The 18289-nt window shown below is 44.9% G+C and overlaps 1 protein-coding gene across 13 annotated transcripts in view, besides 5 other annotated features; it reads right to left on the bottom strand.

Annotated features, from left to right (window-relative positions):
* The window catches only part of SPTBN1 (spectrin beta, non-erythrocytic 1), a 215120-nt gene that overhangs the window by 34529 nt on the left and 162302 nt on the right, over nt 1–18289 (bottom strand). For all 13 annotated transcript variants that reach the window (NM_003128.3, XM_017004781.2, XM_017004779.2 and 10 more), the window contains 10 exons: nt 15406–15518; nt 14431–14618; nt 13322–13439; nt 11956–12114; nt 10684–10986; nt 8668–8821; nt 7115–7985; nt 6889–7026; nt 5307–6063; nt 4150–4352 (listed from right to left, as the gene is read on the bottom strand). In NM_003128.3, coding sequence (NP_003119.2) covers nt 4150–4352; nt 5307–6063; nt 6889–7026; nt 7115–7985; nt 8668–8821; nt 10684–10986; nt 11956–12114; nt 13322–13439; nt 14431–14618; nt 15406–15518 — 3004 coding nt within the window. The remainder of the gene's footprint in view (nt 1–4149; nt 4353–5306; nt 6064–6888; nt 7027–7114; nt 7986–8667; nt 8822–10683; nt 10987–11955; nt 12115–13321; nt 13440–14430; nt 14619–15405; nt 15519–18289) is intronic.
* Nucleotides 1662–1721: an enhancer, noted in NCBI's record as "active region_15768". NCBI's record gives its function as "activates an Ori minimal core promoter by ATAC-STARR-seq in GM12878 lymphoblastoid cells {active_cell/tissue: GM12878}" and the evidence as "EXISTENCE:reporter gene assay evidence [ECO:0000049][PMID:35858748]".
* Nucleotides 1962–2141: an enhancer, noted in NCBI's record as "active region_15767". NCBI's record gives its function as "activates an Ori minimal core promoter by ATAC-STARR-seq in GM12878 lymphoblastoid cells {active_cell/tissue: GM12878}" and the evidence as "EXISTENCE:reporter gene assay evidence [ECO:0000049][PMID:35858748]".
* Nucleotides 6665–6724: a silencer, noted in NCBI's record as "silent region_11490". NCBI's record gives its function as "represses an Ori minimal core promoter by ATAC-STARR-seq in GM12878 lymphoblastoid cells {active_cell/tissue: GM12878}" and the evidence as "EXISTENCE:reporter gene assay evidence [ECO:0000049][PMID:35858748]".
* Nucleotides 6915–6964: an enhancer, noted in NCBI's record as "active region_15766". NCBI's record gives its function as "activates an Ori minimal core promoter by ATAC-STARR-seq in GM12878 lymphoblastoid cells {active_cell/tissue: GM12878}" and the evidence as "EXISTENCE:reporter gene assay evidence [ECO:0000049][PMID:35858748]".
* Nucleotides 7194–7792: an enhancer, noted in NCBI's record as "H3K4me1 hESC enhancer chr2:54856263-54856861 (GRCh37/hg19 assembly coordinates)". NCBI's record gives its function as "activates a minimal SCP1, AML or CMV promoter by ChIP-STARR-seq in naive H9 embryonic stem cells {active_cell/tissue: H9 hESC(naive)}" and the evidence as "EXISTENCE:reporter gene assay evidence [ECO:0000049][PMID:30033119]".

Raw genomic sequence — 18289 nt, 5'->3', positions numbered from 1 at the left:
GTGGCTCCACTACAATAGCGGAGAGCTTCATTTCCAATAGGGGAGGACCCACTGAGGATTCAAAAGCACTGCCACACATACACTTCCTTGATACTCCTGAGTTGCCTAAACAAGAAAGCCAGTCTATATTCAGGGTATTAAGATGGATAAAGGCAGAGTGCAACTGAGGAGAGCTGGGTTTTCATTCGATTCTTAGAGCAATTTCTCTCTGCCTGTGCCTGCACAAGGTCTCTCCTCTATCCACCAAACCCTGAGGCAGGGATGAGGAAGAACACATAGCCTTGGATTCTCCAACACGCTGAGTAAGAGCAGCTTGGTGAACACGTGCTGCTGACCGGTGTCTGAAGAAACTTCCCCAGGAGAAAGAAAGATCTTAGAGTAGAGATGCATGCACCACACGGGCCCTCAGTGGCTGCTGACAATGCAGTGTCATAGCCATTGTCTGCCTGGAGAATCAAAGGGAAAAGCCCTCTGCCCCTATAGCTCCTGCAGGTACCAGTGGCTACAGAACAGTAGAAATTATACATATTTACATGTTATAACATCATATATAATTTATATTATGTAAATTACAGTATTACATACAATTATTGTAAATAAAAATATCATTAGGCATATGTTAGACACAAATAATGCCTTTTTAATTTTTTTAAGTTGAAAGGAGTTCCATAGCATCAGGAAAAGGGATCTTAATATGCTTATACCACATAGGCAAAATGCAAACGTAGAAAAATAATTATACTATAATGCTAAATGAAAATAGTTTATACATATTAAATGATATAAAACTCCAAGGCATGGGTTAGAAAGCAAACACTTAAATGGCATATGCTACAGATGGGATTAAGGGCAGTAGTTTTCCCCTTGAAAATGTCAGACATTTACTGCTTTTACAACAACAAAAAATAATAAAGGCCAGAGACATTTTATGCCATTGCCATCTATCATCAGAAACCAAAATTAAATTTAAAAAAATAAAAGATTGTTAGTGAATTTGGGCTAAAAAGAATTAGTCATCTAAGAATGTGGATGGGTTAGGAATGTCAAAAGGAAATTCCCTTCCCTCAAATTCCAGTTCTATTTCTAGGGGAGTTCAAGAACGCAAATCTTTAGAAAGGAGATAATATGAGTTGGAGTTTAGTGACAAATGCAGGAGTCCTGCCAGTAGTCAAAGGGATAAAGGATTCCATTCCCTTTGGCATGGCATCTCATTGAAGTCCTACAGTGGCAGGGAAGAATCCCAGATACTGGAAATTAACAACAGGACACACATCCTCGCCTCTCACGGAAATAACAGAAATGAAAGTAACTTCAAACACTGGAAAGATTCATTAAGGGAGAAATATGACCATACAGAATCCTGAATGTATTTCTTATATAATCAACTCTCATGCATGCCCGGCAGTTACCGGCCCAGGCAGCCTTTCTCCTATAGTGGGACCATCAAGATGGGAAGAAAGAGGCAAGGATTTAGAGTCACATGTCCAAATGACACCGATCTATGCGCAGGTGTGACAACGGCCTTCGTGTGGTGTGAAACACAGCCACACAGGCATCTGGGACTGCCGCTGACTCAGAAGACGCTTAAAAGAAGTGAGTGTGGCTTAATGGTTTACTAGTGCAACGGACATCATTCGTGGGAAGTGAAACTCAGGAAATTCTCTCCATGTTGGATCACGGATTCAATTACAGGGAAGGGCCTGAGAAGGACCTTTTAAAACTAGGGAGTAGTTTCCACAGTCTTAAAGAGTGCTTTTCCATCTCTCACTTTCTCTCCCTGTAATAAGACTCAAAAAAGCTCCCTCATCACATGAAGCAGATGCGGGTGTTCTGGTTTCTGTGAATAGTCAAGAACCCCAGGTGCCTGAGTGAAACAGCTGGGTAACTTCTGAGCCTGTTTTCCGGTGTGAGACAGGGTCTTGCTTTATGAAGCTGGATACTGTTCCTTGCTCCCCATGAACTGTGCTGTGGCTGGAATTTCCCTCTTGGTCAGGAGCTCCCTCCCTCCCTGTTCACATCCCCTGGGGCAGGCTGAGGACAGTCTCTTCCCACTCACAGGCACTTTGAAGGCCACTCATGCCCCACCCACATCTGTTAGAGTCAGTGTCTTTGTTCTGGTACTCTTTCAACAACTCAGGAAACTTCCTGAACGTAAGCACATTATAATGACTTTACATTCTAGGAGAATCGCTTCACCACAGTGTCAGGATGTTTCGAGGAGCGGGGATTATATCTGAAGGTTTAGATGTTTACTTAGTTTGTGCTCCTACAGCACCTGGAACTCACAGATGTGTGTGTTTTCATAACTGACAAGTACCCTCTAGGGTCAGTTTCAATTCTGTGGGCCTCTGGGGATATTAAAGTGAAATCAGAATTCAGTTAACATCAATGGAGAAAAATAAGAAAATGTAGTTCTCCTGATGGCAGGTCATCGGAAAGCTCCCTCCTTCCATCTTTATTATGCTTATTGATAGTACAGGGTTATCTTTACGTTTCATTTTTAAAACTGAGGAATCCTAAGGAAGCTCTGGAACACCAGTAGCCCAGGCTCTTGGTCAAGGGCAAAATGAAGGTTAAGCCACAACTGAGGGCTGCTGCTGCTGAAACGTTTTATCATATCCAGGAGTCTAGACAGCATCATCTGCTTCCAACAGCTTTGTGCAGTTGCAGCACTGGGGACATAAAAAGAAACCGAGGAAGCAGCAAGGCAGCTGCATGCCTGCCTGAATGCACACATCCCTAACAGCCAAGCCCGCCTGCAGGAAACCAGCTGTGTGCATCTAACATGGAAGTACATAGGATATCTTATTTACAAAATACTCAGAGTTAATATTACAAAAAAAGGAAATTCTTTTTCCCTAGGTTATGAATGCTTTGCCCAATTGCTGTTTCTCATGCTCATTTAAGGAGGGTTTGGTGGATTTATTTTTCTTTTTTGCAGCTGTTTTAAAAGCAACAGATACAAAATTATAATTAACATAAGTTATTCTCTATTCCACAATACCACCCTAGAACATATAGTTCAGCCTGGGAATCAGCTCAGAAAAAAAGATTGGAAGTGGTAAAGACAGGAGCTCAATCTTTATTGGAAACAGAGTAATCCCCTCTCCACCCATCTTATTTTAAGTCAACCTGACCAGGGGTCCCAGGAAACCCTCTCAGATGTGGTAAGCAAAGGAATATTTTTCCTTTCCAACACACTTGAAGGCCAGAAGAGAGGCAGAAAGGAAGGGCTTGTTTTTTGATTACATCAGTCTCACAGCAAGCCCTTAAATTCAACCCAAACTGGAACAGGGGCTAGTGATTGATCCAGTGGCTGGCCCAGACTGGCCTGTGCTAGTGCATCCAACCCCTGATCTGCCCCAACCTCCAACTTAAGTAACCGGGGCAAGGCAAGAGTAAGGAGTGAGTCAAAGAGTTAGGGTCAAACAGAGTCCACTGGCCTCCAGCCGGGGAGGAAATCTTTCAGACAGACAGACAGACACACACACGCACACACACACACACACGTAAATAAAAAAATAATTTTAAACAAGAAATGAAGAAAGTGTATCCAATCCTGGAGATGCCCTGGCAGAAGAGGAAAATAACCTTTGCTCTTATTTACCTCTCCATCATGAAAAAGATCCTATTACAGCACTATCCAAGCCAATTTTCTAAAAAAGTCCAGGTAATGTTCCTTTGTAGCTTTGCCAGGTACTCAGAACAAGCAAGCTTCACCCTCCCTTCCCACTCTCCTGACAGGCTTCTTTCTCATGGATGAAGGGGAACACGGGCTTGGCTGGGAATACCTGGCGCCAGGGGTCCTATCAGGTGACACAAGCGTGTGTTAATCCTCAAAGGGCATGGCTTACACCTGATCGCGATGCAGCACTACGGCTCTTACAGGTCCTCGGTTAAGAATTAGCTTGGCTTCTCAGGCTTTCTTTCCTTTTGTGGACACTTGTACATGTCTCACCAGACCCACATTCTCAGGCAGTCATGCACAGCTCACTAATTTTCTGTATGGGTAGATGAACTTCTGCTGGGCACCCATATTCTGCCCACTGGGAAATTTATACCTAAACTCCCAAGGGCTTCTGGCCAATGATTCAGAAGTTTGAGAGCCCCAAGGTGCAAGGCTCCCTTAAGAACCTCAGAAAACTGTACCTGTCATCAATAGAGTCCACCTTCTCCTGGATGCGATCTGAGTTGATGTTCCCATCGCTCACCAGCCTCCGGCCAGTCTCCACCACAGCATTGATCTTCTCCTCATTGGCGTCCATGGTGGTCATGAAGTCCTCTTGCTTTTTAATTGCTGCTTCAGCTCCTTCCAAGGTGGTAGGCATTTCAGTGTGAGCCAGAACATACTCCTTATTTAAAAAGAGGAACAAATCATAGCAGATCAATGAAGGATCTCATTTTCCTGTGTTCTACATTTCCGTGCAACATAGTTCACAACACTTTCTTCATTACACTTACATGAAATAATTAAATCACATCAAATTAAAAGTTAGGAGGAAAAAAACCCAGTGGGACACTGTAACTGACCGAATTTCCCTCAGGGGTTAATGCTCTAAATTTTTTTTTCCAAAGAGAGTGAGGAAAGGAACCAAAGCTTTGTGTATCAGCCTCAAGGGTCCTCTCACGTGCCTATCAAGGCAACAGCAATGTACCCTTCATACTCTCTCTTTGAGACAGTAACAGCCCTGAAGTTGGTGACTATCCTCAGCTGTTTTTATTTCTCTAATCTCTACTTTGTGTCCTCAGGTGAAGTCCCTGACCCTTCTAGAGCAAGAAGACAGACTGGTCTCAAGAAAAAAAAAAATCCTCACCGTACTTTTTTTTTTTTTTTTTTTTTAAGAGACAGGGTCTCACCCTGCCACCAGGCTGGAGTGCAGTGGCACGATCACGGCTAACTTCACCCTTGACCTGCTGGGCTCAAGTGATTCTCCTGTCCCAGCCTCCCCAAGAGCTGGGATTACAGGAGTGAGTCATCATGCCTGGCCCTCACTGTATCTTTTAAATTGGATCAATACCTCAATTATGAAGACATACTATGAACACATAAGAGATCCTCAATGGCAGTTGAAATCAAACAGTACTTTGTAAGGCAAAGCAGCTCTTATGGCAACTTTCAATTCCTGTCCCCTACAACGTGATGGATTTCAATGCCTTAAGAGTATGGGGAAAAAAAAATCAGTCTCTAAATTATCCATATAATTCCATACAGGTGTGGTTTAAACCAGCTGCCCCAGCCAAAACATTTCAAAAGGCAGCCAGGGCTGCTTTCACCGAAAGGAAGCAAAGGCAGGAACAAACCTTACCTGGTTGTTAAGAAAGGCTTCGGCTTGCTTCGTGTCTCTGAGGAACTGCTGGTAGGCATGTGACTGGGATAGGAGATTTTGTCTGTTCTCCCACATCTTGTGGAGCTCGTTCCATCCAGTGTCCAGGGCCTGCAGCCGCTGCCGCAGAAACATGTACTGGGCATCGGTCTGCCCCTGGGTGACCATCTCGCCCATGTCCCTCATCTTCTGGTAGTCCTCCTCGTAGTTGTCGATCTCGTTCTTGATGTTCTCGTGCTGCGTGAGCAGCTTCTCAGCCTCGGTCAGGGTGTTTGGCATGTCCTCCGAGGCGATCGCTGTCTGGGTCCTAGAGAGCCAGGACTGGAAGTCGTCCAAGTCCCGTAGGAACTGCTGCAGCTTGCTGGCCTCTCCCAGGGAGGCCTCTCGGTTTTTCAGGGTGGTCTTCATCTCCTCCCACACGTCGCTGATCTCGGCCAGCCGAGACAGGATGGCCTGGGCCTGGTCGGGGTGCTCGGACTCCAGCTTCTCCGCCTCCTTCTGCAGGTCACTCAGCTTTGCCTCAATGGCCACCAAGTCCCGCTCCATGCCGGTCAGCTTGCGCTGCAGGGCCATGACGCCAGCCAGGTCATTGCCCAGGTCCTGGGTGGACTCGATGACCTTGGTCTTTTCCCGAATCCAGGATTTGGTTTCATTGCACTCGAGGTGGTAGTTCTGGATGCTCAGGGCAGACAGGAGGGCATCCTTCTTCCTGTCAACCAGTTCTCTGAACTGGCTCCACCTGTGAGTGCAGGGGCAGACAGCGAGTGTGAAAAAGGGAAGACTGACCATGGCTGGATTGCAAAAGGAACAGTGATGGGTTAATGCTGCTTATCTGTTTTCTCCATCTGTGCTTTGACTACATGCTTTTTTGGAAAATCATCTCACTCAAACTGTGAACACCAAATATAATGGAAATAGCTCAGGGATGCAATGTAATCTGGAAAAAGCCTGTCACGAAGAGGAATGTGTTACAGAGCTCCAATGTGAGCAATTACAAGATATCCATTCCCAGAGTCAATTAATTCATGTCTGTGACACATTTTACACATCTCTGAACTCTACCTAATGAACGTTTTCCAAATCTAAGACTGATGGTAACCTTCAAAACTGGGGCCAGGTGCCATAACCTACTCAAACATGTTTACTCAACAGAAAGATAAGACTGGAACAAAGGTCTGCCCTGACAATCAGGACTTTCATTGGCAAATTAAGTGTTAAACATGCTAGAGTCCTGTTCCTGAAGTTACTATAAAATGGATAGCACAGGTGTCATCTTAATACCTTCTACACTGGACACAGGTCAAACCAAGGCCCTAACTTTGGTGTGGCGAGGGGCAGATGCTGGGCTGACTCAGATAATCCTCCTGCAACCAATGATGTTGCCCTGAGAGACACTTCTTACAAAACAAGGACATGTCAAAAGGCAGGTGCCAATGCCATGACATCAGTGTTGCAATGTCGATGACCCCATGTGGGAAATTCCCAACAGCAAAGCTCGATGAGTGACCTCACCCTCCCCAGTCCCACACGTGGGAGGCTGGCACACTGCTGGCCACGTGCTCACCTTGTGTTGAGTTTGTCCTGCTGGGCTTTGATTTCCTTCTCACTTGGGTGGCCGCTGTGCATCAGCTGGCGTGCAATCTGGTTCACCACTGCAACCCGGGAAGCCTGGTTGTTCATTTCTGGTTCTAGGCTCTCAAATCTGAAATGGCAATTTGACAGGGTGGTCACCTCCTGGGCCACTGGTGGTCACAAGGAACAGGCCAGTGGCTGACCAGCGCCCCGCTCACCTGTGCTGGATGACCTCCAGATCCTCCAGCTTCTCTGGGATCTGCATGTTGTTGAGCCACTGCTCCTTCTCGTCGATCCAGAGCTCACAGGCATCAGCCTCGCTGAACATCTTGTACAGGGCCAGAGTGTCCTGGAGTGCCTGCTTCCGCAGCCGCGTCAGCTCTGCCACCTCCTTATACCGCTCCTCGATGCCCGACAGCCTGCCCCTCACGTCTGGAGACTCGGCATGCTCCTGGGGGAGGGCGCTGGCTTGTTCGTGCAGCGTGTCAAGGGTGGGCCTGTAATTGGCGATCTCTTCCGCCACGTCCTTGTGTTTCTTGACCAGAGACTGTGTGGAATACTCATCGTGGCCCACGTCGCTGCTGGAGACAATCTTGAGGATGTCCAGCATCCAGGCATCAATGTCATCAGCATCTGCCTGGAACTGGTGCAGCAGGGAGGCCTCCTCCAGGCGCTTCTTCCGAATGGCCGAGAGCTGCTCTAGGTTGGCCCACTGCTCCCGGATGTAAATGATCCTCTCACGGATCTTCTCCGACCCGAAGTGCTCCTCCGCGATCATGTCTTCGCCTTCCTTGATGGCCTGCTCAAAGTGGCCACTGCGGCCGCTCATCTCGTCCTCGAACGCCCGGTGCTTGCTGAGCAGGCGCATGACGCTGGTCAGGTCTTTCCCGTAATCGTCCGAGGACAGGATCTTCTCCTTCTCCCGTATCCAGCCTTCCTCTTCTGCCATCTCCCAGAAGAACTTCCAGAGGCGGCGGGACTCTTCCAGACGGGCCCTGCGCTCAGCCGCCAGCTGGCAAAGCTCTTGATAACAGAACTCCATGTGGGCCACGCGGTCTCGGATCACCTGGGGGTCACAGGGCTTGTAACCTGTTTAACATCAAGGAAGGAACGTGGCTGTGTGAGGGAGCTCAGCATGGGTGCAGGCTCACTGGCAGGCAGTAAGCTACACCCCATATTCTTATGATTACCAGCTCACTGCTAAATGTAAATGCAGGGCCATGCGATAAGGCAATGGAGCACCTTCTAACAACTTGACTAGAACAGGAGTGAGGGCAATGATAAACATTATTTTTTTTTGGCCAAACCGCAGACAAAGTGATCATCCTCCTGCAAGAAAGCACTTGAATCATATGAAAAAGGCAGCTGCATATAATTGTTTCTAGAAATACACGAAGCATAACCAAATCATTCTAAACATCCTCCAAAGAGAGGTATATGCAACCAGCTGTGAAAGCCAGGAGCTGCTGGAACAGCCACACCAGGGTGTCGGTGCATGGCCAGAGAGACTGAGGTATGACAAAGTCTCACTGCCAAACACCAAGCCACTCAAAGCAAAGGCAGCATTTGCGTATTTAAGGAAAGGATGTATCAATTCCAGAAAAACAAGATGGAGTTAGTGTTCAGAAGGCCACTCCACCGTATTTCATGCTCCCATGACAAACCCACCAGGAATGTATAGTGGCACAGTAACTTCAAAAGCCCCACTGTGTTTCTATAAATATGAATCTCTGGTGACCCGGAGGTAATGCTTGGAATGGGCCATCCTTACCTTCCCCGTCTGTTGCGAACTTCTGGGCGGAGGCATTGACACCTCTCACCCGCTCTGCCTGGATGCCAATGTCTGCTTCAACCAGGGTGTGCTTCTGTAACAGGTCTTCCACACCAAGTAAGTGTTTGCCATAGTCTTGAGACAATACTAGCACCTGTGCACAAGAAGCAACCAAAAGGACATCTGTGACTATAGCCTTGACTTCAGCATCACATCATCTTTCGACAAGCAGAGAGCCAGCAATGAAGCTATGCCTTCCCTCTAGTCTGCCATGGACCCCACACCTTCAGGGGAAGATGATGGCCAACAAACCAGAACAAAACAAATCATACCTGAAGGCCTGAGTCAGGAGAGCTATCACAAACTAAGGATCACCAAACTTGGAATAAGTAAGTCAAATCTACACTAAAAAGTGCAGAATAGAAGAAAAAGATGGTGAGGGCCAGCGGGGCCAGGGTGGGGGGGAGGGGGCAGTGGGGAGCGTGGGCGGGGGTGCTGTATGAAAGATTCCAAAATATAAACTGGAGCTTCAAGAAGAAACCGCTGCAACAACTACTCAAAAATAAATAAATAAAGGTGATAGACTTGGTCACTTCAAAGTTGAAAGAAATCTTTTAGAAGTTGCTGAGCCTGTAAGTGAATGTTTTTCCTCTGTTAGGAGCTTATTGGTATGCCTCTACTGTACTTACACAATCAATGGGAAAACAATCTACTTGAAAAGCTTACAAGCCACATCTTTAAACCAATAAGGAGAGCAGGGTCAGGTGGCTGTCTTGCTTAGTAGACCCCAAGCAACTTCTAGAGTTTAAGTTTGAACCCACTGATATTTTCTTGTTTCTTCCATCAACCAGCGAAATTTGGGGGCCTCATTCTACATCCTCGCCAGATGAGATTTCTACTTCACTCTTACTTCTGAGGAAGTCTCTGGACCAACTGAGTTACAATGTGCATCATGATTTATAAAATGAAAAGTCCCTCTCTGCTACATTTTACGAACATTTCTATTTTGAGAGGTCAAGAGAGACCAGACCTAAGAACACTGTAAATCTGGAACAATAGGAGGGAAAACTGATGGTATCAGATGACTTTGCCCCTCTGTCAGGAACAGTCCAAGAGGTAGGCAACAGATGACAGCTTATATCCTGGGAAGGGAATCTCTTGCATAAGGTCAAGCTTGGGAACACAGCGTGCTGAGACAAAGGAAGCTTCATGGGACTGTCTGAAAACTGTCCTATTTTCTTCTGTCTACAAGGCTAAAGGCCTCCCAGCTGGAGAACTGCTTGGCATGGCTGAGCATTCCATGGCCTGCATTGGAGGACATGAACAGGTACAGGGCCATGGCATGATAGCAGGTCTCTTCCTGGGAAGGGGGAAAGGTTGGAACTCTATGCTAAGAGCAGTCAATAAATGGCATGACCAGCCACTGCCATCCAGCCCATCCCATGATCTGTGCACATACTACCGCATTCCATCCTTGCAATAATTGGATGAGGTAGATAGTAAGTACAATCTCCATTTAAAGACCAAGAAAGAGGGCTCAAAGAGGATTAGGCAACTCAGGCACTCACAATCAGAACTCTGGCTGCCTGGTTCCTGACCTCTCCTCTGTCCATGGCACCTACCACTCCTCCCTTCTCCCCATACCACCTCTCCGGGACCCCTGCCCAAAGTAGTACCACTCACTCACAGATCAATGAAACGGTAAGTTAGTTTAACCCTGAAAACTTAAAAATAAAGAAAACCACAATGTGATTGATTCCCTACACTGGAATATATCTAAGTCACAGAAACAGAGCTCTGGCTACTGAACTGGTCTCTACAACTTTTTCACACTTCACGTCTCATTTAATTCCTGAGCTAGCAATCTTCCCATGGGTGATGTGGCTCCTCTCTAGCTGTACATGTGGGCAGTTAGACAAGGCACACAGCTGTACGTAGGGGTTTAGTGAATGAGTCACAGAAAAGAGAGCCCTGGTTGGATCAGCTCTGTCGTCCTTCCTTTCGGTCAGGTTTTACCTTCATTTCATCCATCCAGTCCATAATGTAGAGCATTTCCTGGAATATCTTCTGCAGCCCCAGGTTCATCTCGAGCCGCTGTCTCCGGGCCCTGAGCAGTTCCAGTAGGTATTCCCAGAGCCGGATGACATTGTCCTTCCTCGCTGTGATGCGCTTGATGTCGTGGTAATTCTCGGCCTCGAGCTCCCTGGCCACGGCTACCACAGCCTGCACACGCTCCTCGTATGCGGCAATGTCTGTCTCAATGGCCTCGTGCTTTTTTGTGGCGGCCTCAACTGCAGGAAGGTCAAACCCAAAGTTGTCCTACAGAGAAACGGAATGAAAAGAAGGAAAATAAAAAATCCACCCGGGCACAGTAGCTCATGCTTGTAATCCCAGCACTTTGGGAGGCCGAGGCGGGCAGATCACTTGAGGTCAGGAGTTCGAGACTAGCCTGGCCAACATTGTGAAACCCTGTCTCTACTAAAAATACAAAAATTAGCCGGGCGTGGTGGCACGTGCCTGTAATGCCAGCTACTTGGTAGGCTAAGGCAGGAAAATCGCTTGAACCTGGGAAGCAGAGGTTGCAGTGAGCCGAGATTGCGCCACTGCACTCCAGCCTGAATGACAAGAGTGAAACTCTGCCTCAAAAACAAAACAAAAACAAAACCAAAAAACCTATTTCCCGCGCCACCCCCCCTCCAAAAAAGGAAAAAGAACAGACATGAAATCTTGAGCACACATTAATCCCTGGTGGTCTTAAAGCCAAATCTGACTCCTGAGTCCCCCACCCCACTGGTCTCTGCCTTGAGCTTAGATGCCCTCCTCAAAGCAAACTAGTAACTGCTCATTTTGCAGAAGGGCCCAGTTCGTATCTAGTACCTTACTGAAAAGCTAGAGCAGGTGATAGCTTATGTCAAGCCAGGTGGAAAAGCAAGCCATTTTTGTTTATTTCACAACCAGTCTAACTGCCTCGTAGGATTAGTTGGTCAAAGATTAAAGAAAAGAGAGAAACTGTTAAAACTTATAAATGTGAACAGTTCACACACACTCAATGGCTCTAAAACAAACTCTGCTTGAGCTGCTTCCAAATCTATGAAAAGTTAGATAAATAGAAATGTATATTAGAAATTATAAACATCCTCTTAATGGGAAGGGGCCAAGGTGACCTGACGTTCCTCCAGAATAATGAATGTCGATAAGCAGCTGTCCTCTGGCCCTATGCCCCTGGGGATGGTCTGTGTTTCTAGATTACCCTAGCAACAGTCTTTTTAATAATGTCAAGAGCAGAACCTGAGACACCAGACGCTGGTTTTCGCTCAGCCAAGTCTCCCTCATAGCTGCCTTGCGATCAAATCTGCGGGCGAGCTGTTCCAGTTTCTCCTGTCTTATGAGCTCATTCCGCAAAGCCAGTTCTCTTTCGTGTTCCGCTTTTTCCAGTCTTTCCCAGGCCTACAAAAATGAAAATACACACACACACAAACACAGTTTCCTGCAGTGTTCAAGGAAACTTCCGTGGTTACAGTCAACAGCTAATATTTCTCAAAAGGACCTGACAGCTTGAATGGGAAATCCCATTCCCACTCTCACTGACTCTCAAGCCTTGAGGAAAAAAACGGGTTTTTCTCTCAGTGTATCCTCATGGGAACACTCTTCCGTCATCTAAATCTAAAGATTCTGTGTTGTACTTGGAAAACAAAACTGTAGCTATGAAGCAATATAAGTAAATTATAAATCTCTTACTTTAAGAGGAAATAAATTATCTTAAATAGCTTTGATCATATAAAAAAGATAAATGATTCTTCTAAGAATTCATATGAATTTCTCATTCATTCCACCCTGGGCCACTTTTAAAAAATTTACACATCTGAAATTTCTTTCAAAATCCTGACCTACTGTCCATATTAAATTCATTCCTAGGAAATCTATTTCTTCACCTAAAAAAAAAAATCAAACCTTCCACTCGAAGGAATCTAAGTGGGGCCAGACGCAGTGGCTCACGCCTATAATTCCAGCACTTTGAAAGCCGAGGTGGGAGGACTGTTTGAGGCCAGGAGTTCAAGACTAGCCTGGGCTATATAGTGAGACCCTGCCTCCATTAAAAAAAAAATTTTAATGAGCAGCATAAAGGAATGTAGTTCTGTACAAGTGACCAAAGTTCTAGAATTTTTCAAATTTCTTTCTAGTTGGAAATAATGCCTGCTGTGAATTTCTATAACTGCAGGCATAATAGGCATGATGATTAAAATTGCTTATTTGACAGCATCTCTAATGCAAGAAGCCAACATCCTAAGCCCCACAACTACTATGAAACACATGAAATAAGGTTTCAATTTCTCCTTTCTGTAATTTAAAGATGTTTGAAACAATTGCCTCAGATGAGAAGTAAAGTGATATGTATCTGAGTAGCAAGGTGTATAGCCTACGCCAAAGCTGGTTTGATAAAATCTAACATTGCCCCCTGAAGCCTCCAGCAGCCTAACCCGGTACCATTGCTTGCTTGGTCCTTTGCCACACCTGAGCACCAGCTGCCAATTGTCAATTCGGCAGGTGGGGACAGCCCCTTCCAGTCTCTTGTCCTCTTAGCAGTCGAGACCTAGTGATAGAACCTGAAGCCTCCAGGAGGTCAGGGCCCATGCAGAGTCCAGATCCACTTTACCTTGTTGATGTCAGAGATGAGCTTCCCCTCCCGGGGCATGTAGACCTTCTGGTTGTTGGCCCTCATCTTGCTCTGAATGGTGAAGAGCAGCACTTCCAAGTTCCCCTTCTCAGTAAATCTAAACACAGGGGAAAACATTCATTTGGTACTGGAGAAAAAAAAATTTCACACTGTCATGCATTTTAAAAACCATTTAACTCTGGTCTGACTTACATGAAATGCATGTCAAAGAGACATCAGTAGGTTGCTTATTGGCTATTACAAACCTTGAAACATACCAAACCGTGGAATTTCTTTGTTGTTGCTGACATTTATATTTGAGGGTGTCAAAGGCATGCAATACTCTTTTGTATTCACTTAAATCAAGGTTTAAACCCCAAATCCTGGACAATGGACTTACTTCATTCATTCAGTGTAGCTGAATGCATTCAACACGGATTATTTCAAATGTCTACCTAATATAATTTTCAATGGGTTTTAGAGACCTTACCAAGATATATGCAACTGAGTTTTCAGAAAAGAAAAAACGACTTTGGAACTATGGTAAGCAATAGATAAGGTCTACAATCCTTATTCAACAATTATGAACTTAAAAAAGATATGAAAAAAAATCAAACTTTTTTTGGGTTGCAAAACCTGTTCTGAACTGTTATGAAATTATCTATTATCTTTCTTTATCTAATGCAATGTGAATATTTACACATTTTGCTACAGATACTTACTGGGCTTATGGGCTATTGCCTTAGTCCCATCTGGGGTCTTATAATATACAACATATGAGCTGTGCTGTTTTTTTAAAATCCAAAAATTATGGAATCCTGAAACACACTAGGTACAATGGTTTTGGATAAGGGGTTGGGGACTTGTACCATTTCTTGGAATTCTCATATATCCTGTATGTCAGTGGCACATTTATATTGGGAAGGGCTCAGAGAGAGCATGATCTATCATAAATCTCAGCAAAACAGAGTCAGATGAAAAGGAGTAGGACACACTACTGAAAGGCATTCAGTTAAGAGATGAGATTACAGAAATCAGAACATAGGGATCTGTTGGCTACAGTGATGTGTCTTTCCATATTAATGATCACACTACAATATGCATCTTACTTGGGTGGTTTCTCCACAGTGCGGTAAGTGTTGAATGCCTGAAGCTGCTGTTGAACCCCGACCAGTGAATTGGCAAATTTGCGATTGTTCAGAATGATGATGGTTTGTTCAATCCATTCCAGAAGGTCAGAGGCAAGTGATTCATACTTTTCAATCATTTTTTCTGTTTCAATAGCATTGTCAAGCACCTGGCAACAAGGGATAGAAAAATTGAAAAGATCATGTCACTCCATAAGTTAAATACGATTGTAACCCTATACGAGTGCATGCACACAAAACGACCGGCTTTGAAACAGTTTGGCCAGCTCTGAAACAGTTCAGCTGTACCTGGGCACAAGCATTTTAACTCAAGGAACCATCTGCTAAGAGGGGCCCAGACTGTGATTATTATTTGTGAGCAATGACAGCTTAACTGTAATTGGTTCTGTAACTTTCCAACCCCCAAGCAAAGAGATTCTGAATGATTTCTGTAGCCTAACATCTGAAATCCCTAGAGAAACAAAAAGGGCTCAATTTAGCTTGATCCTGTCCCATAAATGCCCATTAATTTTTGACTTCACTGCATTGAGAGGACAATGTCATCTGGTCTGAGGTGTTTTGAAAACATGGCAGGTGAACATCAGCCAAATGAGAAGTAAAAAGCACGATGCTGGGGCCTTTTCAACTGTGGTAAGTAGGATGTCACACCCATGACATTAGGCAACTCGATCAGATTTCCAATACCCAATTTCCTGGAGCAGTTGAGGAGAAAGATGTTGCTGGGTTTGAGATAGCCCCCAGATCCTTTCCTAAATATGGTGGCCATCTCTCCCACCTCTTGTTACCCTTCAGGATGAAGAGGCTTCTGCCGATTTCCCTACCATCCGGAGAGTCCACTACAAATTGCTATTGGCAAATTTTATGAGTGCATGGGAGAATGAGGGCTCAATTAACCTTAATTATGTCTCACAACTCACAAAATTGGCACCAGCTCACCTTTCCAATTCGTTTTCCTTCAACAGCTAAGGCCTTCATCTTAGAGAAGTAGTGGTAATAAGTCACCACATAAGTGATTATGGACTTCTCATCAGGATGGTCCACGCTGATGTCTGTAACCCAGAGAAGACTCTGTTCAGTGTGTTGCATGCTACTGTGCCCCACCCAGGTAGCAGGAACAAATGCAACGACTGCTGGTCAACATGGAACAGTTCAGCGTCTTCATGTTTGTACCTGAGTGTTCTGCCATCCGTGCATTAATTACAAGGATAATGAGGGTTAAACCATCTCACTGATTCCCCATTATGTGAATATTCATGAAACGCCTTCCACAGACACATAGTTCCTCCTCTCCTTGCCCTACTACCATACTGGGTTAGCTCTGCTTGAGTCCTCATTGCTGCCTACAGGACCAGCACCGCCCCCTGTCAATCAGTCTTTGGATATCTTTATCTCTTTGTTACCAGTATCCAGCAGCTAGTCACTGAGTCTAAGTTGGGATGACCCTTATTTATGGAATCCTTATTGTCACTCATGTTTCAGACCCATCCTGTCACATAACCAGCCCTGAAACAATGGCTCCCTCCACCAGCTTTCCCGATTTCCTTCACATAGTGCACCCAGACTGATCTTTCAGAAGCACAGCTGTGAACACAGTTTCTCCTAGCTCAAAATTACTCAGTCTGAAGAATAAACTATAAGCGCTTCAGTCCTCCAGAATCTGGCTATAACTTTCCTTCCCTTTTTTCCATCAATTTGTCAAATATTCACCAGGCTTCTTTTAAGTGTCAAGCATTGGTCTAGACATTTCTAAATTCTATAGCCTACTACCTCTCAAACACTGTATTCCTTACTAAATTTTTTGAGACAGGGTCTCACTCTGTCACCCAGGCTAGAATGCCGTGACATGATTATAGCTCACTGCAGCCTCAAACTCCTGGGCTCAAGCAATCCTCTCACCTCAGCCTCCTAAGGAGGTGAAATTGCAGATGAGAGCCACTGTACCTAGCACTGTATCTCTGAATCAAACTTGACCTCACCATTCCCTATACACACATAATTTCCAATACGCCTTCCTTAACTTATGACTTCCCTTTGTCTGAAATGGCCTTCATGACCCCATAACTTTCTTACTATCCATCAAGGTCCATTTCAAAAGTTACCACCCAATACAACCATTTATGATCCCCACAGCTGACATTATTGTCTCCCTCCTCTATTCCCTTGGGGCTTTGTATGGACACATAGTCCACTTTTTGCCAGGTTATGATTTTTTATGCATGTTTTGTTTGCCTTACAAAATTCAGTCCCCAAGGGCAGAAGCCTGTCCGGGCAAGCCCCTATGCCACTCCACCTACCACATTCCCGCTGTGCTGTCCTGCGCAAAGCAGGTGGTCAATAAATAGGTACTGAGAGAAGGAACAAACAACTTAAAATGGCAAGTCTTTGAAGTTCGGCAATATTGAGTAAGCACTCAACTTGGGATAGGTTGTGAAGAGAACACAAAGGACAGCTCTTAACAGATATTATCAGGCTCTTTTTCAATATACATTCATACATACACCCCCATTCCTATCGCCGCCCCTGACAGCCTTGTATGGAGCAAAATTGTTTCTCTTAATTTAAACAAGAGAACATCAGGACACACTGCTGGCATGCTCCCTGCCCAGGGTCACTAAGGCAGCCCGTGGTTGTGAGGGCCAGAATCACAGCTACTGTTCCCTACCCCAGGGCTCCTGTGTCCGCTCAGCCCGTCAAAGTGTGCACAAAGGAGAGTGAACTGGAGGACAGCCAGAAAAAATGCCAGTGTAGGTATACAATTTAATCAACACAAAATGTCAACAAAACTCAAAGAAGTGAGAAGGTAAAACTTTTTATTTAACTTGTCTACAAGTAGATTTTAACTGATGTTCTTTGGAGCCCTGGACAACTAATAATCAAGATCAAACCCACAGGATAAAAGTGAAATCAGCTGCCATTTTTAGCTCCTCGTCTTGTGATCTGGGGAACATCAATCCCCCTTTTCATACTGGGCGGTGATTGAAAGATTAACTAATGAGCAAGTTATTAAAAAATGTTGTCACTGCGATAGGGAAAAAAAGGTTCTTTATCAAAGCACAAAGAACTAGGGCTAAGGAAAAATTCCTTCCCATAGTAAGATAGGGGTTAAGCATGAAGATTTATCGAAGCCCAAGGAATTTTAGTTTTCTGTTTATATTGAGAAACCATTTAATGGGTTAGTACAAAGATAATTTTATCTCAGCTTCCTGTAGCCAACATATCAGTGAATCTGATGCATTGGAAAATAGCAAGAAGCCTGCCTGGCAGCCTCATGACCTTGATCTGCCTTTGGGGAGTTAAACTTCCTGTTCTATATTTAAAAGAACTTTAAACTTTCACTCACATACACACAGTTTTTTTCCTCTCTAATATTTGTTCACAGCTGAGAGGATCTATATATCTCCAGCACTTCAAACAAATCCAGATATTTTAAATGCTTCTCAAAATTAGAAAAAGTTCCTATGAGAGCTCATGTTGAAATGAAACCCAGAATTAGGATTTTATTAAGCAAGGGAACTACAACCTGGGGAACTGCTCCAAACAGGTCAGCTCCAAGTTACACAGGGACTCACAGAGTAAAGAGGGATTAGTTCCGTGCAGATAATGGGATGCAGCTGTAAGAAAGGACTATGACTGCTGCTCCTTCCACCCCTACACTCCCCTTTCCCAAAGGTGCCTTCCTCATTTAAACTCTTACTTGCTCATAAGCAAAGCACAGCCTCCTAACAAGGCCCCTGCCTGCAATCTCCACCCATCCCCATCCAACCTGCTTGCCACCTTCAGATAAATGTCAGCCAACAAGTATTCATTAACAGCCTATGCC

The sequence above is a fragment of the Homo sapiens genome, chromosome 2, assembly GCF_000001405.40.
Source record: "Homo sapiens chromosome 2, GRCh38.p14 Primary Assembly".
In the NCBI taxonomy this organism is placed as follows: Eukaryota; Metazoa; Chordata; class Mammalia; order Primates; family Hominidae; genus Homo; species Homo sapiens.
Note: the sequence above shows the minus strand (reverse complement) of the source record. Positions and strands in the feature narration are given on the sequence as shown.